The sequence below is a fragment of the Homo sapiens genome, chromosome 17 (assembly GCF_000001405.40).
Source record: "Homo sapiens chromosome 17, GRCh38.p14 Primary Assembly".
Taxonomy (NCBI): domain Eukaryota; kingdom Metazoa; phylum Chordata; class Mammalia; order Primates; family Hominidae; genus Homo; species Homo sapiens.
In genome coordinates, this window is record NC_000017.11 from 39,705,791 (window position 1) to 39,727,618 (window position 21,828).

Below are 21,828 nucleotides of genomic sequence, written 5' to 3' on the forward strand. Positions count from 1 at the left end.
TCAGACCCCAAGCCAGCCCTTGTGCTGTCCCTGAATCTGCATGTAGCCTGTGGGAGGCGGAGCAGTGACCGGCAGGAATTCTGGGCAGCTCAGGCACCTGTGGGCCTGAGGGTGCCCTCTGCCCCCACCCTTCCGATCTCCTGGGCAAGACACGCCAGGTGATTCATCTCACCAGAGCAGAAAAACAAGTTCAACTGGGCACTTTAATCTCCCCTCACTGGCAGGCCTGGTGTGAGCTGCTACCCCGGCGCCCCTCACCAGGGGTGCTTTACCTCCTCTAGTATTCCTGACCTTAGTGGGCATTTCTGGTCTCAGGGATACCAGGCTGGGGTCCAAGTGGGCCAGGTGTGGCAGTTCAGCCCTATGCCCCATGGCTGATGGCTCGCGCTGGGCAGGTATGCAGGGCTGACGTAGTGCCTTTGTGGCAGCAGTTTCGTGGCACACATTCTGCCAGCTGGTTCTGGAGTCTTGCCCTGAGGAGGTGGCCAGGGTGAGGGTGCCAGCGCAGGAACCTTTGGCGCATGCTTCACCCTGGCCTGGGATCTGCAGCCTGGGTCCAGATGCCCACAACTGGAATCTGACGCTCCTTTTCTCTTCATGGGGGACTCCCAGAGGTCTCTGCAATGACCAGAGCCCCGGTTGTCCCATGCCTCAGCTGCAACTCCAGCTGACCCTCCTTCCCCACTCTCTGGGTGGCATTACGGGGGTGTGGATCCCTTGCCAAGAGGTTGGCATGTGGGTGTGCTGGAATGGCATAGGGAGAATGCACCGAGTTTGTTTGCTTGGGAGAGGGGCAGGGGGTATCCAGAAGATTCATGATTCGTCATCGCCTCTCTTGGGGGATTTTTACCCCTTTGCCCTGAGTTGTGCCTTTGGGACAAAGGAAGCCTTTCTTTGCCAGCCAACACCCTGTACTGGCGGGCGAGCTCCCCAGGGCTGGCACGCTGGGGCAGCCTCTGAATGCACAGGGTGGGCCTAGTCAGAAGAAGCCTTTCCCCTGAAATCCCTCTACTTCCCAAGCACGCAAGCTTTCTCCTGCTGTTAAACCTGCAGTGTGCAAGGGACATGGGCGGAGGGGTCCTTCAGTCAGGCTTCTCCCTGTCTGAGGTGGCATGACTTGGAGTGAGTTTGGATGGGGTGGCCAGGTCTGAGAAGGTCCCCCGCCAGTGTCCTCTGACCCATCTGCTCTCTCCTGCCAGTGTGCACCGGCACAGACATGAAGCTGCGGCTCCCTGCCAGTCCCGAGACCCACCTGGACATGCTCCGCCACCTCTACCAGGGCTGCCAGGTGGTGCAGGGAAACCTGGAACTCACCTACCTGCCCACCAATGCCAGCCTGTCCTTCCTGCAGGTGAGGCCCGTGGGCAACCCAGCCAGGCCCTGCCTCCAGCTGGGCTGAGCCCTCTGTTTACAGGTGGGTGGCAGAAGAAGGTGCCCTGCCCTTCTGTTTCCTCTCTTGTTGTGGTTTCTCAACCAGGAAGTCCTTTCTAACATCTAACCCCCATTCATTTTACTGCAGAATCAGTTGACTCTCTCTATAACGTGGCTGGCCGAGGTCATGTCTGGATGGGATGCGTCTGTGTTTCCGCTAAATCTTGTGCTCTCTTGCCAGCATGATCATGTCCCCTGTCCACCTGCTCCAGCCACTATCCCTCTCCCACTTACAGCAGAAGAAAGGGCTGGTGAGAAAGGTGGATTACAGGCCCACTTCTGCCACTGACGAGCCCTATGAATGTGGCCTACACCCCCTTAGCTTCACTGGGTCTCAGTTTCCCTATCTGTATATTGGGAGCAGTTGTGAAGCTCAGAAGAGAAATGTCTGTGAAAAGGTTATGAACAGGAGGGAGAGTGGAAACCAACCTGCTGGATCGTGTCCACAGACCCTGGAATGGGGCCACATGCTTGGTTTGTCAAATTGCAGACGCCGGCCGGGTGCGATGGCTCATGCCTGTAATCCCAGCACTTTGGGAGGCCGAGGCGGACAGATCACTTGAGGTCGGGAGTTCGAGACCAGCCTGACCAACATGGAGAAACCCCGTCTCTACTGAAAATACAAAATTAGCCAGGCATGGTGGCACATGCCTATAATCCCAGCTACTTGGGAAGGCTGAGGCAGGAGAATCACTTGAACCTGGGAGACGGAGGTTGTGGTGAGCCTAGATCGTGCCATTGTACTCCAGCCTGGGCAACAAGAGTGAAACTCCGTCTCAAAAAAAAAAAATTTGCAGACGCCATCCCATCCAGGCCTTTGCTTTCACTGATGAAGAAACTGAGATACAGAGAGGGCAGGGCACCTGTTCGGAGTTTATGAAATGCCCCCCCACCATTATCTTTCTTGATCATATAAGAATCTGGTGAGGCAAGGTAGGGCGTGATCTTTATCTCTATTTTATCGTTTTATTTAAGCGGGAACAGGACTGCTCAGTGGCTGGGGGCCTTGCCCAAGATCTCCAAGTACTGGGGAACCCCAGGGAGGCCCTGGGGGGTGGCAGTGTTCCTATTTCAGCCCCACTCTGCTTCCCCCTCCCAGGATATCCAGGAGGTGCAGGGCTACGTGCTCATCGCTCACAACCAAGTGAGGCAGGTCCCACTGCAGAGGCTGCGGATTGTGCGAGGCACCCAGCTCTTTGAGGACAACTATGCCCTGGCCGTGCTAGACAATGGAGACCCGCTGAACAATACCACCCCTGTCACAGGGGCCTCCCCAGGAGGCCTGCGGGAGCTGCAGCTTCGAAGCCTCACAGGTGGCCTTCACCGTCATTGAAACCTTCTCTTGGTTATTCAGAGCTGACCAGGGCCACTGCTAACCAGGGGGAGGCTTTGTGTGCATTAGAAATGGTGTCCCTTCTGGGCAGACGCAGGCAGAGCCCGGGAAGACGCCCTCAGAAGATTGGAAAAAGATTCCCCTTCTTCCTGGGAAGTTGTAGCTTGCGTCAGCACATATAATTCAATCGTGAGAATGCAGGCTGGGTTTTTGCCCCCACTTGGCTGAGTGAAGTGTACAGTGAACAACCTATGTAACTATTTGCTGGCCCTGGAGCCGACTCTGCCCCAGAGTCTGGGTGCCAGGTGCTTTGCCCGCATGGCCCATTTCAGTCACGCTGCAGTCCTGTCAGGAAAAAATCAGTGTTATTCTCATTCTACATATGAGAAAACTGAGGCTTGCAGATATAAGGGCCAAAAGTTACACAGCTAGTGAGTGATGGGGCTGAGTTTCAGACTCCACAGTCTCTTAACCACCAAGCAGCATGCCCAGAGTAGAGGTGAGAAGGAAGGAGAGAGCTGCGGTCCACATGAGCATCTGGACCTAGCATGGACAACTCACTCCTCCCTGGCTCTCGCTTTGTTCTTGTTGCGGGTGTGGTGGTGGTGGGACTCAAAGACGGTAAAGATAGCTTTCTCTCCTCCCTGGGGAATCTGGGGGTTGTTTAAAAGGCCTGCTCCTCTTTTAGAAGGCAGGAGGGCCCCAAGGGAAGCAGAAGGTGACAGAAGGGGAAAGGGTCCTCTGATCATTGCTCACCCCACAGAGATCTTGAAAGGAGGGGTCTTGATCCAGCGGAACCCCCAGCTCTGCTACCAGGACACGATTTTGTGGAAGGACATCTTCCACAAGAACAACCAGCTGGCTCTCACACTGATAGACACCAACCGCTCTCGGGCCTGTAAGCCATGCCCCTCCCTGCTGCCTCTTCTCTCAGACAGCCTGACCCCAGCCGCAAACTCCCAACTTACAACCCAGTGCCTGCCCGCCACTGCCCCAGCCGCCTACACCACCCATTTCCTCCCTCTCTGTCCCTCCTGCCATCTCCCTGTGCCTCTTCATCTCTGGGGTTCTCTGTCTTGTCTCCCTCTGCTTATAGGTTGTGCCTCTGGTTTGGGGGCCTCTCAGCCTGTCTGGGTCCCTCCCTTGCTGTGCAGTTGGCCTCGTGGCCTCTGCTGCTGTTTGTGCCTCTCTCTGTTACTAACCCGTCCTCTCGCTGTTAGACATCTCTCTCACTGCCTGTCTCTGGTTCTGTCCTCAGGCCACCCCTGTTCTCCGATGTGTAAGGGCTCCCGCTGCTGGGGAGAGAGTTCTGAGGATTGTCAGAGCCGTGAGTCTCAGGGAGGCCTGGAGTCAGGGAAGGGGAGGGCTGGGGCCGGGTGGAATGCAGGTGTCATACAGGTGACATGGGAGGGGTGGGATAACAGGCTTGGGATGTCTCCCCTGGGCCAGGTAGTCTCCCTAGAAGGTGATGCTGATGAGGGTCTGGTGCCCAGGGCGCCACTCAGCCCTCATCCTGCCCTTTGCCCAACAGTGACGCGCACTGTCTGTGCCGGTGGCTGTGCCCGCTGCAAGGGGCCACTGCCCACTGACTGCTGCCATGAGCAGTGTGCTGCCGGCTGCACGGGCCCCAAGCACTCTGACTGCCTGGTATGTGCCTCTGCTTTGTGCCCAATGTGCTCTACCCCCCAGGATGCAAGGGGTGGGCACCCTGCCTGGTACTGCCCTATTGCCCCTGGCACACCAGGGCAAAACAGCACAGTGAAAGCCAGCCACCTGTCCCCCCAGGCCTGCCTCCACTTCAACCACAGTGGCATCTGTGAGCTGCACTGCCCAGCCCTGGTCACCTACAACACAGACACGTTTGAGTCCATGCCCAATCCCGAGGGCCGGTATACATTCGGCGCCAGCTGTGTGACTGCCTGTCCCTGTGAGTGCCAGGGAGAAACACAGTTTTCTCATTTTGGTGGGGAGGTTTGTTTCTGTAAATGGGAGCATATGGGGAGCACTGTCTGCATCTTGCTTTGAGAGCTGGTCATGACAGTTCCTGCCGAGCTGCCTTGTTCTTTCAACAGCTGTGGAGCAGGTGGCAGTAAGGAGAGGCAGCTAAGAGCCCAGACTTGGGAGCCAGACTGCCTGGGTTTGAAACCCAGCTCTATCAATTAGTAGGCACGTGACCCTCTTGCTGTGCCTCAGTTTCCTCATCAGTAAAATGGGGGCAAGAATAGTCCCAACTGCATAAGATGGTTATAACATTTGAAAGAGTTAATATTTGTAAAGCTCTTAGAACGGTGCCTGGTATGTACTAAGTGCTCCTAAATGTTAGCTTTTATTCTATAGCCTGGTGAGGTCAGTTTTACCTTTCGTTTTGTTTTTGAGACCGAATTTAGTTAGCTCTATCGCAGTGGCGCGATCTCGGCTCACTGCAACCTCCGCCTCCCAGGTTCGTGCTATTCTCGTGTCTCAGCCTCCTGAGTAGCTGGGATTACAGGCGCCCACCACCATGCCTCGCTAAATTTTGTATTTTTAGTAGAGACAGGGTTTCACCACGTTGGCCAGACTGGTCTCGAACTCCTGACTTCAGGCGATCCACCTGCCTCGGCCTCTGAAAGTGCTGGGATTACAGGCGTGAGCCACTGCACCCGGACTTTTTTTTTTTTGGCAGAGTCTCGCTCCATTGCCCAGGCTGGAGTGCAGTGGTGCAATTTTGGCTCACTGCAACCTCTGCCTTCCGCATTCAAGCAATTCTTGTGCCTCAGACTCTTGAGTAGGTGGAACTACAGGCATGCACCACCATGGCTGGGTAATTTTTGTATTTTTAGTAGAGACGGAGTTTCACTATGTTGGCCAAGCTGGTCTCGAACTCCTGACCTCAAGTGATCCACCCGCCTTGGTCTCCCAAAGTGCTGGGATTACAGGCATGAGCCATCGTGCCTGGCCTAGCTCAGTTTTATTTAACAGATCACCTATTTACTGATGGGCGTTTATGGACTGGGCTCAGACCTGGGGAACCTCTTTCCTCCTCTCACAGGAACAGGAGTGGGCCTTCAGATCCTGGCTGACTGTGTTAGGGAGAGGACAAAATGTAGAGCCAGACCATTTGGGTTCAAATCCTCGCTCCTCCACTCACTAGCACAATGACCTTGAATAATTTACAGAACTCTCTGCTTTGGTCTCCCTTTTTGCAAAATGGGAATCTCACAGTGCTGATCCCGTCTGGTTGTTGTGAGGGGTAAATGGATGTCAGGTGCTGATGCGTGGTAGGGCATTTAAGTATTGGTTGATATTATTCTTCTTGTGCCTGGGCACGGTAATGCTGCTCATGGTGGTGCACGAAGGGCCAGGGTATGTGGCTACATGTTCCTGATCTCCTTAGACAACTACCTTTCTACGGACGTGGGATCCTGCACCCTCGTCTGCCCCCTGCACAACCAAGAGGTGACAGCAGAGGATGGAACACAGCGGTGTGAGAAGTGCAGCAAGCCCTGTGCCCGAGGTACCCACTCACTGCCCCCGAGGCCAGCTGCAGTTCCTGTCCCTCTGCGCATGCAGCCTGGCCCAGCCCACCCTGTCCTATCCTTCCTCAGACCCTCTTGGGACCTAGTCTCTGCCTTCTACTCTCTACCCCTGGCCCCCCTCAGCCCTACAAGTGTCCCTATATCCCCTGTCAGTGTGGGGAGGGGCCCGGACCCTGATGCTCATGTGGCTGTTGACCTGTCCCGGTATGAAGGCTGAGACGGCCCCTTCCCCACCCACCCCCACCTCCTCAGTGTGCTATGGTCTGGGCATGGAGCACTTGCGAGAGGTGAGGGCAGTTACCAGTGCCAATATCCAGGAGTTTGCTGGCTGCAAGAAGATCTTTGGGAGCCTGGCATTTCTGCCGGAGAGCTTTGATGGGTAAGAGTGGGCACGATGACCTGAGACAGTGTCAGGGCAGACAGAGTCCTGAGGATCCAGATGTGGCAGCATCTCTTGGGGATGGCAGGAGACAGAAGTGGGGGGATCAAGAATGCAAAGAAAGCAGATGGGAGACCAGAGGAGCAGGGCCTTTGGTGGGTGGGGGTGATTATTTTTGTAAATGACATGCTATCCGTGAACAAGGACTTGTATGGAGGTCAGACCATCTAGATAAAGTAAAATTCCCTTTGAGTTCATAGCAGCTTTATTCAAAATATCCCCAAATTGGAAATAACTCAAATGTGCATCACTAGGTGAAGGAATAAACAAGTGGCAGTGTATCCATTTGGTGAAGTTCTACTTAGCAACCAAAGGAAATGAACTACCGATACAACATAAATGAATCTCAGAAACATTACATTGAGCAAAAGAAGCCAGAGACAAGATTCCATACTGTCTGATCCCCTTTATGTGAGGCTCTGAACCGAAAAAACCACTCTGTGGTGGGAGAGATCAGAACGGTGGTTGCCCCAGGGTGGGGGGCTTCAAAAGGGAGGCACACAAGGACATTTCTGGGGTAATAGAAATGCTCTGTATAGTGATTGGGGTAGTGGATACATGAGCGAATCCATTTGTCAAAACTCATCAAACTGTGTGATAAGAGTCTGTGCATTTTATTTATTTCATTTTATTTTTTGAGATAGAGTCTCACTCTGTCAGCAGGCTGGAGTGCAGTGGTACGATCTTGGCTCACTGCAACCTCTGCCTCCTGGATTCAAGCAATTCTCCTGCCTCAGTCTCCTGAGTAGCTGGGACTACAGGTGTGTGCCACCATGCCCAGCTAATTTTTGTATTTTTAATAGAGATGGGGTTTCACCATGTTGGCAAGGATGGTCTCGATCTCTTGACGTCGTGATCCGCCCACCTCAGCCTCCCAAAGTGCTGGGATTACAGGCATGAGCCACCACACCCGGTGCATTTTATTGTATATAAGTTATACTTCAATAAGAAATGAATTGGGGCCAGGCACGGTGGCTCACGCCTGTAATCCCAGCACTTTGGGAGGCCGAGGCAGGCAGATCACTTGAGGTCAGGAGTTCAAGACCAGCCTGGCCAACATGGTGAAACCCCATCTCTACTAAAAAATATAAAAAATTAGCCAGGCTTCCTGGCATGCGCCTATCATCCCAGCTACTTGGGAGGCTGAGGCAGGAGAATTGCATGAACTCGGGAGGTGGAGGTTGTAGTGAGCTGAGATTTCGCTATTGCACTCCAGCCTGGGCGACAGAGTGAGACCCTGTCTCAAAAAGAAAAAAAAAAAAAAGGGTCAGGCGCCGTGGTGCACACCTGTAATCCCAGCACTTTGGGAGGCTGAAGCAGGAAGATTGCTTGAGCCCAGGAATTCAAGAACAGCGTGGGCAACATAGTGAGATCCCATCTCTACAAAAAAACACAAAAAATTAGCCGGGCATGGTGGTACGCACCTGTAGTCTCAGCTACTAGGGAGACTGAGGTGGGAGAATCACCTGAGCCTGGGAGGTGGAGGTTGCAGTGGGTTGAAATCATGTCACTGTACTCCAGCCTGGGTGACAGAATGAGACCCTGTCTCAAAAAAAAAAAAAAAAAAAAAATTCCCTTTCACACTTCCTTTACCTCCACTCCCCTTTCCAGAGGGGGCCATGGTTAACAGTGTGTGTGTTCACCTAGACCGTTTATGCATCTGTAGACACACACACAGTGAAGTGTGGTTTTCGTCGTTTTGGTGGGGAGGTTGGTTTCTGTAAATGGGAACATATAGGGAGCACTGTCTGCACCTTGCTTTGAGAGCCGGTCATGACAGTTCCCATTGAACTGCCTTGTTCTTTCAATAGCTGCAGAGCAGGTGGCGGCAAGGAGAGGCAGCTAAGAGCCCAGACTTGGGAGCCAGACTGCCTGGGTTTGAAACCCGGCTCTACCACTTACTAGGCATGTGACCCTTGTGCTGTGCCTCAGTTTCTTCATCTGTAAAGTGGGGGCAAGAACAGTCCCAACTTCATAAGATGGTTATACCACCATGCCTGGCCAGATGATTATAAAGTTTGAATGAGTTAATATTTGTAAAGCTCTTAGAACAGTGCCTGGCAGATACTAGGTGCTCCTAAATGTTGGTTTTTATTATGTGGCTGGGTGGCTCGGGGTTTTATTTAACAGCTCCCCTATTTACTAATAGACATTTAGATCATGTTCCATTTTCACTCTTACAAACAGTTCCACTTTGTGTGTGGCTCTGGGAACATGGGCCAGTGTCTCCCTAGGCCACATTCCTAGAAATAAGATTTCTTTTCTTTTTTTTTTTTTTTTGAGACAGAGTCTCGCTTTATCGCCAGGCTGGTGTGCAGTAGTGTGATCTCGGCTCACTGCAACCTCTGCCTCCCGGGTTCAAGTGATTCTCCTGCCTCAGCCTCTCGAGTAACTGGGACTATAGGCGCGCGGCACCACACCCAGCTAATTTTTGTATTTGTAGTAGAGATGGGGTTTCACCATGTTGGCCAGGATGGTCTCCATCTCTTGACTTCGTGATCCGCCCGCCTCGGCCTCCCAAAGTGCTGGGATTACAGGCGTGAGCCACTGAGCCCAGGCAGAAATAAGATTTCTAGATCAAAGGATATAAATACTGTTTTGATAGATGTTGCCGAACTAAGGCCTGGGCTTTGAAGCCCAGGATGGGAACAGCTGGGCTCGATGGGCAAAGGGTTTGAGTGAAGGCATTCATGGTGGGGAGTGGCTGGCATGGCCAGTGCTGGGAGTGATGTCCACCCTGTTCCTGGCCCTGCTGACTCCTCTCCTGACCCCTCCAGGGACCCAGCCTCCAACACTGCCCCGCTCCAGCCAGAGCAGCTCCAAGTGTTTGAGACTCTGGAAGAGATCACAGGTGGGCTCTGTCTCTGCATCCTGTTCTGCAGGGGCTGGGAGTCCTTGTCCTGTCCCCACTCCTTTAATCTCACCCTCTGCCTGCAGGTTACCTATACATCTCAGCATGGCCGGACAGCCTGCCTGACCTCAGCGTCTTCCAGAACCTGCAAGTAATCCGGGGACGAATTCTGCACAAGTGAGCACTGAGAAAGAGGGGGCCTGATGGGGAGGAGTCCCAGGGAGGAGTCCCTGTGGGAAGCTTTGGGCCTGAGGGAGTACTCCTGTAGCAGTAACCTTTCCATGAAAGTCTGCAGAGTGTGCTGGGGATGGAGGAAGATGAGAATAGCCTTTGCTGACCGGGAAGGGGTCCGTGGTAAGGTGCCCACCTTTCTCCCATAGTGGCGCCTACTCGCTGACCCTGCAAGGGCTGGGCATCAGCTGGCTGGGGCTGCGCTCACTGAGGGAACTGGGCAGTGGACTGGCCCTCATCCACCATAACACCCACCTCTGCTTCGTGCACACGGTGCCCTGGGACCAGCTCTTTCGGAACCCGCACCAAGCTCTGCTCCACACTGCCAACCGGCCAGAGGACGAGTGTGGTAAGACAGGGAGCCCAGTGTGCGCACTCCCCATCTGCCAGCACACAGCAGTGCCCAGGGGGCCCTGGCAGCAGCGTTCTTGGACTTGTGCAGACTGCCCGTCTCTGTGCACCCTTCTTGACTCAGCACAGCTCTGGCTGGCTTGGCCTCTTGGCATGGCTTCTCTAGCTGGGTCCTACCTGCCTTGGCATCCTTCCCTCCCCCTCTGTTTCTGAAATCTCAGAACTCTTCCTCTCCCTACATCGGCCCCACCTGTCCCCACCCCTCCAGCCCACAGCCATGCCCACAGCCAGTTCCCTGGTTCACTTGGACCTGGGGCCTCCCCTAAAAGTCCCCTGCGGTCCCTTCCTCCTCACTGCAGTGGGCGAGGGCCTGGCCTGCCACCAGCTGTGCGCCCGAGGGCACTGCTGGGGTCCAGGGCCCACCCAGTGTGTCAACTGCAGCCAGTTCCTTCGGGGCCAGGAGTGCGTGGAGGAATGCCGAGTACTGCAGGGGTATGAGGGGCGGAGGAGAGGGTGGCTGGAGGGGTGCATGGGGCTCCTCTCAGACCCCCTCACCACTGTCCCTTCTCTCAGGCTCCCCAGGGAGTATGTGAATGCCAGGCACTGTTTGCCGTGCCACCCTGAGTGTCAGCCCCAGAATGGCTCAGTGACCTGTTTTGGACCGGTGAGCTGCTGGCGGGCTCAGAGCTGGGTGGAGGGGGGCAGCGAGGGGGATTGCCAGGGACTTGGCAGGATGGCGAGATGCAGTAGGGTGTGCTATCTGGTAAAATATCCCTGGAGAGGGCTCAGCGCTCAGACCTGAACAGCAACAGAGTGGCAGAAAAGGGGCCTGGGGGACACTGGGGCCCTTCAGACTATGAAAAGGTTCTAAGGAGGTCTGTGTTGGTGGCTGTGACTGTGGCTGTGCTAGGGTGGTGAGCCCTGTGGGCTCAGGCGTCAGACTACCTGGATTCAGACCCAGCTCCTGCTTCCAACCTTGGTTTTTTATTCCTAAAATGGGTATTGTAATAATACCTACCTTGCTGGGGTGTGGCAAGAATGAAATTAAACAGGGCTTGGCACAGTGAAGCACGGGAAAGGCTTTCTACAGAGCAGTGACTGTTGTTACTCGCTGTTACACCTTAGGTAATGCGTTTTCCTCTCTGGGTGCCTCCCATTTTCTGGCTCAAGTCCCTGCCCAGGATCAAGCTTGGAGGAGGGCCCCGAGGGAGGGGCCACAGAGACTGGGTGAAGAGCAAGGGTGTTTGTCCCAGGAGCATGGCGAAAATTGCTGCTGGGTGGCCTTGGGAAGCACAAAGGGGACCCAACTAAGGGCCTGATCCTACTGCCCTGGGGGTGTCAGTGCCAGCCCCCCACAAATCTTTTCTGCCCCCCCCAGGAGGCTGACCAGTGTGTGGCCTGTGCCCACTATAAGGACCCTCCCTTCTGCGTGGCCCGCTGCCCCAGCGGTGTGAAACCTGACCTCTCCTACATGCCCATCTGGAAGTTTCCAGATGAGGAGGGCGCATGCCAGCCTTGCCCCATCAACTGCACCCACTCGTGAGTCCAACGGTCTTTTCTGCAGAAAGGAGGACTTTCCTTTCAGGGGTCTTTCTGGGGCTCTTACTATAAAAGGGGACCAACTCTCCCTTTGTCATATCTTGTTTCTGATGACAAAAATAACACATTGTTAAAATTGTAAAATTAAAACATGAAATATAAATTAATGCCCTAGCAGTTCTATCCCCACTGTTAATAATTTGAAATATTTTTCCTCTAGTTATTTTTGTCTGTGCACATTCTAATATGTATATATAAGTTAACATATATTAATATTATTCTCCAGTTATTTTTATCTGTGCACATTTTAACACACACACACACACACACACACACACACATATGTATTTTTAGACGGAGTTTCACTCTGTCGCCCAGGCTGGAGTGCAGTAGTACAATCTTGGCTCACTGCAGCCTCCACCTCCTGGGTTTAAGCAATTCTCCTGCTTCCGCCTCCTGAGTAGCTGGGATTACGGGAACGTGCTACCTTGCCTGGCTAATTTTTGTATTTTTAGTACATAGGATTTCACCATGTTGGCCAGGCTGGTCTCGAACCCCTGACCTCAGGTGATCTGCCAGCCTCGGTCCCCCAAAGTGTTGGGATTACAGCGGTGAGCCACCATGCCCAGTCATATATTTCTTTTTAACAAATAGAATCATAGATCATACATATTGTTTGCAAATTGCTTTTTCTCACTTTCCAGAACCTTGAAATGTTTTTCCATGTTCTAACATGGTGATCTACCTTATTCTTTTAATTTTTCTTATTTAGTTGTCTTTACACATGAAACACATGAATACATCCTTGTGATAAACATTTTCAGTAACATAAAAGTATAAATGTTACAAAGCCAACGTGCCCTTTCACTCAACTCCCTGTCCACCCAGTCTCTCCTGTCTGCTGGGAGAACCACCGCATTGACTTGTGTGTTCACCCTTCCAGGCTCTTTTCTGCACACTTATATAGACATACTACATTTATATTAGGTCGAGTCAAATAAGATTGCTGTTTGTGTAAACCAAAAAGTGTCAAGAGCCTGGGCGCAGTGACTCACACCTGTAATCCCAGCACTTTGGGAGGCTGAGGCAGGCAGATCACTTGAGATCAGGAGTTCGAGACCAATCTGGCCAACATAGCGAGACCCCGTCTCTACTAAAAATACAAAAACTAGCCAGGTGTGGTGATGCTGTTCTGCACTTTGCTTTCCCCCCGACTTGAGGTATCCTTTCTTGTGAGTACAGACGGATCTACCACCTTTATTTTTTTTTTAATTACTCAACCTGTAACATGGATGTAATTTCACTTTGTTTTTGAGGGATATTGAGCTTGTTTCCCTGTTTTTGCAGTTTATTGCAATTGAGCTCCACACACAAGTGAGCCCTCTTTTGTATGCCCCCTAGTGGGAATACAGTGCTGGCAATGTTTATCACAAGGATATATTCATGCATTTCAATTTAAAGACAACTAAATGAGAAAAATTAAAAGAATATGGATCCAGGCTGGGCATGGTGGCTCACGCCTGTAATCCCAGCACTTTGGGAGGCCGAGGCAGGCAGATCACCTGAGGTCAGGAGTTCAAGACCAGCCTGGCCAACATGGCAAAACCCCGTCTCTACTAAAAATACAAAAATTAGCCAGGCGTGGTGGTGGGCGCCTGTAATCCCAGCTATTTGAGAGGTTGAGACAGGAGAATTGCTTGAACCTGGGCAGCGGAGGTTGCAGTGAGACGAGATTGCACCAGTGCACTCCAACCTGGGCAACACAGTGCAACTCCTTCTCAAGAAAAAAAAGAAAAAAAAAAAGAATATGGGTCCAGATCCATATGGATCCTAGATCCAGATCACGGTGTTAGAACATGGAAAAACATTGCAAGATTCTGCTAAGTGAAAAAAGCATTTGCAAACAGTATGTACAGTCTATATTCAGAGGAGGAACTGCTGGGTCATAGATGATATTTCATAGGTATTGCCAAACCGTTCTCTGGAGAAGTGGTATGGGTTTACCCTGGGATTCTTCTATGGAGGGAATAGTTGAGCTCCCGGGCTTGCTCTTCTGGGTGCCCCTCCCCGCTTCCTATCCACCACAAGGAGCTGCAGGGGAGCGGGGCATGCCGGTTCCTTGGCTGGAGAAGGAGTCTCCTTGTGAGGTGGTAGAAGGAGCACTGACGGCCTTGAGCCCAGTTTCTGCCTTTGTCAAATGGGGATAATGACCCAGCCACACCCCTCCCAGGGTTGTTGTGAGGCTGGAAAGGTGGTTCCCAAGAGGGTGGTTCCCAGAATTGTTGATGAGACTGTTTCTCCTGCAGCTGTGTGGACCTGGATGACAAGGGCTGCCCCGCCGAGCAGAGAGCCAGGTTGGCCTGGACCCCAGGATGTACCCTTCATTGCCCTTCACTCCCCCACTGGATGCTGGGTGGTCACTGCTGTAGGGAGGGGACCCCCTGACATATGTCCCTTCCCACCCACTCTTCCACTGTGGAACCTCCTGTCATTTTCCACTTCACCAAGTGACAGAGGACCTGCTCAGATGCTGAGGGGAGGGGACTGCAAGGAAAGATGGCTAGGAAACCCAGTCCCTCCACACCCTAGAGTAACTTGATGCCTTGTGAGGGACACAGGCAAAGTTCAATTCCTTGGAAGTCAAGGGAGACTGAGAAGAGTACAGCTGCAGCACTGAGGGAGTGATGAATTCTTAACTGGGGATGGTGGGAGGCTTCGAGTGGGAGGTGGCATTTGAGCTAGGCTTTGAGAGAGGAGCAGGTATTGCACTTGCATTTAGGTAGAAAGCATTGGGGTGCAAGGTGACACTGGAGGGGGAGGCATCAGGAAATCCAGGATGTCTTCAAAGTTCTGGTGTCGGGGGCTGTTGAGTAAGCACAGGAATAAGGGGGTCAAGTTAGAGTCAGGGTGGGGTCTGACCTGGATGCCATAGGACCTGATCCCCAAGCCACAGGGTGGGACTTGACTGGGCAGTGGGGACCTTTGGAAAGGACTTTGGGGAGAAAAACAGACTGGAGTCTGTCTTAGGCGATCATCGGTCCGTGAAATGAGCATGTGTTACAGGCTTGGTATGTACCAGACCCTGTGCTAAGCAAGGGGGTATGGAGAGGAGAGGGTGACAAGAATATTGGATCAACACCCGGGAGCTCCATCTATCCCAGGATGCACTATCTTTTTTTTATTTTTTTGAGACGGAGTCTCACTCTGCCTGCAGGCTGGAGTGCAGTGGCTCCATCTCGGTTCACTGCAACCTCTGCCTCCTGGGTTCAAGCGCTTCTTGTGCCTCAGCCTCCCAAGTAGCTGGGATTACAGGCACATGCCACCACACCCAGCTAATTTTTGTATTTTTAGTAGAGACGGGGTTTCACCATGTTGGCCAGGATGGTCTCGATCTCTTGACCTCAAGATCCGCCCACCTTGGCCTCCCAAAGTGCTGGGATTACAGACATGAGCCACCGTGCCCAGCCAGATACGCTATCTTTTTATTGAGTGATTGAGACAGGGTCTTGCTCTCTTGTCCAGTCTTGAATGTGGTGGTGTAATCACAGGCTCACTGCAGCCTTGACCTCCTGGGCTCAAGTTACCCTTCTGCAGTAGCTGGGACTATAGGAGCGTGCCACCACGCCTGGGTAATTTAAAAAATTTTTTTTGTATAGACAGGGTCTCACTATGTTGCCCGAGCTGGTCTCAAACTCGTGGGCTCAAGTGATCCTCCAGTTTTGGCCTCCCAAAATGTTGGGATCACAGGAGTGAGCCACCACTCCTGGCGATGAGCCAAGTCTTTTTTTTTTTTTTTTTTTTTTGATATGGAGTCTTGCTCTGTTGCCCAGGCTGGAGTGCAATGACACGATCTTGGCTCACTGCAACCTCTGCCTCCCAGGTTCAAGCAGTTCAAGCAATCCTCCTGTCTCAGCCCCCCAGTAGCTGGGATTACAGGCATGCGCTACCACGTCCGGCTAATTTTTGTATTTTTAGTAGAGATGAGGTTTTGCCATGTTGGCCAGGCTGGTCTTGAACTGCTGACCTCAGGTGATCCACCTGCCTCGGCCTCCCAAAGTGCTGGGATTACAGGTGTGAGCCATCGTGCCTGGCGGAGCCGAGTCTTAAAAGATGACCCTGTGGAGAAATGGTGGTCCAGGCTGAAGGGACAGCCTATGCAAACACTGGGAGGTGTGGAAAATCATGACCTGTGGGTGGAAATTTTGGCTAGAACATCAAAATCATCAGGTGTACATTCCTGTACCCATGCAGCAGTCAGAATCTCTGGGGGTGGGGCCCCAAAATTGTATGCATACAGACTGTGTGCTGATTTGTGATATTACTTAGGATTTTTTGACTTTACAATGGTGGAAAAGCAATAATATACATTCAGTATAAACCGTACTTTGAATACCCATACAGCCATTCTGTTTTTCACTTTTATTTTTATTTATTTATTTATTTATTATTTATTTTGAGATGTCATTTTGCTGTTGTTACCCAGGCTGGAGTGCAATGGCGCAGTCTTGGCTCACCGCAACCTCCACCTCTCAGGTTCAAACGATTCTCCTGCTTCAGCCTCCAGAGTGGCTGGGATTACAGGCAGGCACCACCACACCCGGCTAATTTTGTATTTTTAGTAGAGACGGGGTTTCTCCATGTTAGTCAGGCTGGTCTCGAACTCGAGAGCTCAGGTGATCTGCCCATCTCAGCCTCAAGCCACCATGCCCAGCCCTACTTTCAGTATTCAATAAATTACATAGCCAGGCACCGTGGCTCACACCTGTAATCCCAGCACTTTAGGAGGCCAAGGTGGGAGGATCCTTTGAGGCCAGAAGCTCGAGACCAGCCTGGGCAACATAGTGAGACCCCATTTCTACAAAAAATAAAAAAACTAGCTGAGTGTGGTGGCGTGTGTCTGTAGTCCCAGCTACTTGGGCAGCTGAGGTGGAAAGACTGCTTGAGCCCAGAGGTCAGGGCTGCAGTGGGCCATGATCTCACCACTGCACTCAGCCTGGGCAACACAGCAAGGCCCTGTCTCAAAAATAAATAAATAAATAACACAAACTTATTTAACAGTTTACTATAAAATAGGCTTTGTGTCAGATGATTCTGCCCAACTGTAAGCTGCTGGCAGTGTAAATGTTCTGAGCACGTGTAAGCCAGGCTAGGTGTCTTAAATGCATTTTCAGTTTCAACTTAGAATTGGTTTATCAGGACGTAGCCCCTTGGTGTTGAGGGGCATGTGTATTAACAGTCTCCTTAGTGACTTTTTTTTTTTTGAGATGGAGTCTTGCACTGGCCGTAGTGCAGTGGCACAATCTCAGCTCACTGCAACCTCTTGTCTCCCGGGTTCAAGCGATTCTCCTGCCTCAGTCTCCCAAGTAGCTGGGATTACAGGCACCCACACCACGCCCAGCTAATTTTTGTGTGTGTGTATTTTTAGTAGAGACGGGGGTTTCACTATGTTGGCCAGGCTGGTCTCGAACTCCTGACCTTGTGATCTGCCCACCTCAGACTCTCAAAGTGCTAGGATTCCAGGCATGAGCCACCGCGCCCAGAGTCCTTAGTGATTTTTACACCATGAATTGTTGAAGCCCTAAGCCAGAGCCAAGGGCAAGAGTATAGAGAATCTGGAGATGCGGAGAGGGTTCTGATTGCCTACAAGGAGTTTGGACTTTATTGTGGAGGCAGCGGGGAGCCAAGGCAGGTTTTAGAGTAGGAGAGGGTCCAAGCCTGTGGGTCACCCTTCCGACTTCCCTTTCCGAATGCCAAACACCTTCATGTCCCCCGTGGGCCCCCTTTGTCCCTCCCACCCCAAACTAGCCCTCAATCCCTGACCCTGGCTTCCGCCCCCAGCCCTCTGACGTCCATCATCTCTGCGGTGGTTGGCATTCTGCTGGTCGTGGTCTTGGGGGTGGTCTTTGGGATCCTCATCAAGCGACGGCAGCAGAAGATCCGGAAGTACACGATGCGGAGACTGCTGCAGGAAACGGAGGTGAGGCGGGGTGAAGTCCTCCCAGCCCGCGTGGGGTCTGCACCGGCCCCCGGCACTGACCCACCACCCCCTCACCCCAGCTGGTGGAGCCGCTGACACCTAGCGGAGCGATGCCCAACCAGGCGCAGATGCGGATCCTGAAAGAGACGGAGCTGAGGAAGGTGAAGGTGCTTGGATCTGGCGCTTTTGGCACAGTCTACAAGGTCAGGGCCAGGTCCTGGGGTGGGCGGCCCCAGAGGATGGGGGCGGTGCCTGGAGGGGTGTGGTCGGCAGTTCTGATGGGAGGGGCAAGAGCTGGAGGCAGTGTTTGGGGGAGGGCAGTTACAGCGGAGAAGGGAGCGGGGCCAAGCCCTAGGGTGGTGAAGGATGTTTGGAGGACAAGTAATGATCTCCTGGAAGGCAGGTAGGATCCAGCCCACGCTCTTCTCACTCATATCCTCCTCTTTCTGCCCAGGGCATCTGGATCCCTGATGGGGAGAATGTGAAAATTCCAGTGGCCATCAAAGTGTTGAGGGAAAACACATCCCCCAAAGCCAACAAAGAAATCTTAGACGTAAGCCCCTCCACCCTCTCCTGCTAGGAGGACAGGAAGGACCCCATGGCTGCAGGTCTGGGCTCTGGTCTCTCTTCATTGGGGTTTGGGGAGATATGACTCCCGCAAACCTAGACTATTTTTTTGGAGACGGAGTCTTGCTCTGTCACCCAGGCTGGAGTGCAGTGGCGTTATCTCGGCTCACTGCAACCTCCACCTCCTGGACTCAAGCGATTTTCATGCCTCAGGCTCCTGAGTAGCTGGGATTACAAGCGCCCGCTAATTTTTTTTTTTTTTTTGAGACAGAGTCTCGCTCTGTCACCCAGGCTAGAGTGAAATGGTGCGGTCTCAGCTCAGCCTCCCAGGTTAAAGCGATTCTTCTCCCTCAGTCTCCTGAGTAGCTGGGATTACAGGCGCGAGCCACCACGCCCGGCTAATTTTTGTATTTTTAGTAGAGATGGGATTTCACCATGTTGGCCAGGTTGGTGTCAAACTCCTGACCTCATGATCCGCCCGCCTCGGCCTCCCAAAGTGCTGGGATTACAGGTGTGAGCCACCGTGCCCGGCCTAATCTTTGTATTTTTAGTAGAGACAGGGTTTCACCATGTTGTCCAGGCTGGTACTTTGAGCCTTCACAGGCTGTGGGCCATGGCTGTGGTTTGTGATGGTTGGGAGGCTGTGTGGTGTTTGGGGGTGTGTGGTCTCCCATACCCTCTCAGCGTACCCTTGTCCCCAGGAAGCATACGTGATGGCTGGTGTGGGCTCCCCATATGTCTCCCGCCTTCTGGGCATCTGCCTGACATCCACGGTGCAGCTGGTGACACAGCTTATGCCCTATGGCTGCCTCTTAGACCATGTCCGGGAAAACCGCGGACGCCTGGGCTCCCAGGACCTGCTGAACTGGTGTATGCAGATTGCCAAGGTATGCACCTGGGCTCTTTGCAGGTCTCTCCGGAGCAAACCCCTATGTCCACAAGGGGCTAGGATGGGGACTCTTGCTGGGCATGTGGCCAGGCCCAGGCCCTCCCAGAAGGTCTACATGGGTGCTTCCCATTCCAGGGGATGAGCTACCTGGAGGATGTGCGGCTCGTACACAGGGACTTGGCCGCTCGGAACGTGCTGGTCAAGAGTCCCAACCATGTCAAAATTACAGACTTCGGGCTGGCTCGGCTGCTGGACATTGACGAGACAGAGTACCATGCAGATGGGGGCAAGGTTAGGTGAAGGACCAAGGAGCAGAGGAGGCTGGGTGGAGTGGTGTCTAGCCCATGGGAGAACTCTGAGTGGCCACCTCCCCACAACACACAGTTGGAGGACTTCCTCTTCTGCCCTCCCAGGTGCCCATCAAGTGGATGGCGCTGGAGTCCATTCTCCGCCGGCGGTTCACCCACCAGAGTGATGTGTGGAGTTATGGTGTGTGATGGGGGGTGTTGGGAGGGGTGGGTGAGGAGCCATGGCTGGAGGGAGGATGAGAGCTGGGATGGGGAGAATTACGGGGCCACCTCAGCATGTGAAGGGAGGGAAGGGGCTGCCTGTGCCCCACCTTGCAGGGTCTGTGCACTTCCCAGGATTAGGGAAAGACCGGGTAGGGTCTGTCTCCTGGCATCACATCTCCCCCTGCTACCTGCCATGATGCTAGACTCCTGAGCAGAACCTCTGGCTCAGTACACTAAAGCTCCCTCTGGCCCTCCCACTCCTGACCCTGTCTCTGCCTTAGGTGTGACTGTGTGGGAGCTGATGACTTTTGGGGCCAAACCTTACGATGGGATCCCAGCCCGGGAGATCCCTGACCTGCTGGAAAAGGGGGAGCGGCTGCCCCAGCCCCCCATCTGCACCATTGATGTCTACATGATCATGGTCAAATGTGCGTGGCTGAGCTGTGCTGGCTGCCTGGAGGAGGGTGGGAGGTCCTGGGTGGAGGAGCCCACAAGGGGCATGAAAGGGGACCAGGATGTATGTAGACCCAGGAGCCCTAGTATGTTAGGAGCCTCAAAACCTTCTTGTATCCCTTTTACAGTCAAAGTCCAAAGCCACTCTTGAGGAACACTCTTGTACAAAATTAAGCTGGGCACAGTGGCTCATGCCTGTAATCCCAGTACTTTTGGAGGCTGAGGTGGGAGGATCCCTTGAAGCCAGGAGTTCAAGACCAGCCTGGGCAACATAGTGAGATCCTATCTCTACAAAAAATAAAAAAATTATCTGGGTGTGGTGGTGTGTGCCAGTAGTCCCAGCTACTCAGGAGAGGCTGAGGCAGGAAGATCACTTGAGCCTAGTTTAAGGTTGCAGTAAGCTATGATTGCACCACTGAAATCCAGCCTGGGTGACAGAGCGAAACCTCATCTCAAAAAAATAAAAAAGCAAACAAAAAGAAAAAAAAAATTAAAAGGGAAACTAGAAGAGATGCCAAAGGTTCTGGCTGAAGACCCCAGAGTCTGGTGCTACTTCTCTACCACCTGAGGGCTTTGGGCTGTCCCTTGGGACTGTCTAGACCAGACTGGAGGGGGAGTGGGAGGGGAGAGGCAGCAAGCACACAGGGCCTGGGACTAGCATGCTGACCTCCCTCCTGCCCCAGGTTGGATGATTGACTCTGAATGTCGGCCAAGATTCCGGGAGTTGGTGTCTGAATTCTCCCGCATGGCCAGGGACCCCCAGCGCTTTGTGGTCATCCAGGTACTGGGCCTCTGTGCCCCATCCCTGCCTGTGGCTAAGAGCACCCTCCTGCAGAGGGTGGGAAGGAGAGATGAGTCCAGTATGCCAGGCCCCTCACGGAAGGCTGCATGCTGGGCTGGGGAGGGGCCACCATCCTGCCTCTCCTTCCTCCACAGAATGAGGACTTGGGCCCAGCCAGTCCCTTGGACAGCACCTTCTACCGCTCACTGCTGGAGGACGATGACATGGGGGACCTGGTGGATGCTGAGGAGTATCTGGTACCCCAGCAGGGCTTCTTCTGTCCAGACCCTGCCCCGGGCGCTGGGGGCATGGTCCACCACAGGCACCGCAGCTCATCTACCAGGGTCAGTGCCCTCGGTCACACTGTGTGGCTGTCTGCTTACCTCCCCCAACCCCGGTGGACTAGGGTCCCTTTCTCTGATGTTCCCTCAACTGTCACCTCTCAAGGAAACCCCATTATCCCTACAAAAAATTCTTACTGCCTTCCAACCCCTGTGACCCCATTCTCTCCACGGTGACTGTGTCATACCCCAAAGGTGACCTCTGTTTTTCTCCTGTGACCCTGTCACCTTCCATGGAGTCCCCATCCCAGATCCGTGAGTGACCCCCATCATGACTTTCTTTCTTGTCCCCAGAGTGGCGGTGGGGACCTGACACTAGGGCTGGAGCCCTCTGAAGAGGAGGCCCCCAGGTCTCCACTGGCACCCTCCGAAGGGGCTGGCTCCGATGTATTTGATGGTGACCTGGGAATGGGGGCAGCCAAGGGGCTGCAAAGCCTCCCCACACATGACCCCAGCCCTCTACAGCGGTACAGTGAGGACCCCACAGTACCCCTGCCCTCTGAGACTGATGGCTACGTTGCCCCCCTGACCTGCAGCCCCCAGCCTGGTATGGAGTCCAGTCTAAGCAGAGAGACTGATGGGCAGGGGAGGTGGGACCTTCAGCCCAGGGTCCACTGT

General features: G+C 53.3%; 1 protein-coding gene and 1 non-coding gene across 33 annotated transcripts in view, besides 1 other annotated feature; both read left to right on the forward strand.

Annotated features, from left to right (window-relative positions):
- Window positions 1–21,828, forward strand: part of ERBB2 (erb-b2 receptor tyrosine kinase 2) — a 40,565-nt gene that overhangs the window by 17,697 nt on the left and 1,040 nt on the right. For 6 of the 32 annotated variants that reach the window (NM_001382782.1, XM_047435590.1, NM_001289936.2 and 3 more), the window contains 25 exons: window positions 1,200–1,351; window positions 2,531–2,744; window positions 3,528–3,662; window positions 4,023–4,091; window positions 4,296–4,411; window positions 4,550–4,691; window positions 6,138–6,257; window positions 6,532–6,658; window positions 9,496–9,569; window positions 9,656–9,746; window positions 9,950–10,149; window positions 10,511–10,643; window positions 10,725–10,815; window positions 11,530–11,690; window positions 13,997–14,044; window positions 17,529–17,667; window positions 17,748–17,870; window positions 18,122–18,220; window positions 18,936–19,121; window positions 19,259–19,414; window positions 19,537–19,612; window positions 19,917–20,063; window positions 20,772–20,869; window positions 21,025–21,213; window positions 21,505–21,757. In NM_001382782.1, coding sequence (NP_001369711.1) covers window positions 1,217–1,351; window positions 2,531–2,744; window positions 3,528–3,662; window positions 4,023–4,091; window positions 4,296–4,411; window positions 4,550–4,691; window positions 6,138–6,257; window positions 6,532–6,658; window positions 9,496–9,569; window positions 9,656–9,746; window positions 9,950–10,149; window positions 10,511–10,643; window positions 10,725–10,815; window positions 11,530–11,690; window positions 13,997–14,044; window positions 17,529–17,667; window positions 17,748–17,870; window positions 18,122–18,220; window positions 18,936–19,121; window positions 19,259–19,414; window positions 19,537–19,612; window positions 19,917–20,063; window positions 20,772–20,869; window positions 21,025–21,213; window positions 21,505–21,757 — 3,322 coding nt within the window. In that variant the 5' untranslated portion in view covers window positions 1,200–1,216. Of the gene's footprint in view, window positions 1–1,199; window positions 1,415–2,530; window positions 2,745–3,452; window positions 3,663–4,022; window positions 4,092–4,295; window positions 4,412–4,549; window positions 4,692–6,137; window positions 6,258–6,531; window positions 6,659–7,362; window positions 7,480–9,495; window positions 9,570–9,655; window positions 9,747–9,928; window positions 10,150–10,480; window positions 10,644–10,724; window positions 10,816–11,276; window positions 11,379–11,529; window positions 11,868–13,996; window positions 14,045–17,528; window positions 17,668–17,747; window positions 17,871–18,121; window positions 18,221–18,935; window positions 19,122–19,258; window positions 19,415–19,536; window positions 19,613–19,916; window positions 20,064–20,771; window positions 20,870–21,024; window positions 21,214–21,504; window positions 21,758–21,828 lie in introns of those variants that run through there. The other 26 variants (NM_001382784.1, NM_001382786.1, NM_001382785.1 and 23 more) reach the window with 26 other exon arrangements.
- Window positions 20,513–21,485: an enhancer, noted in NCBI's record as "H3K4me1 hESC enhancer chr17:37882556-37883528 (GRCh37/hg19 assembly coordinates)". NCBI's record gives its function as "activates a minimal SCP1, AML or CMV promoter by ChIP-STARR-seq in naive and primed H9 embryonic stem cells {active_cell/tissue: H9 hESC(naive and primed)}" and the evidence as "EXISTENCE:reporter gene assay evidence [ECO:0000049][PMID:30033119]".
- Window positions 20,705–20,771, forward strand: MIR4728 (microRNA 4728). Its single transcript, NR_039881.2, has one exon. It is a non-coding gene; the product is annotated as a microRNA 4728 (primary transcript).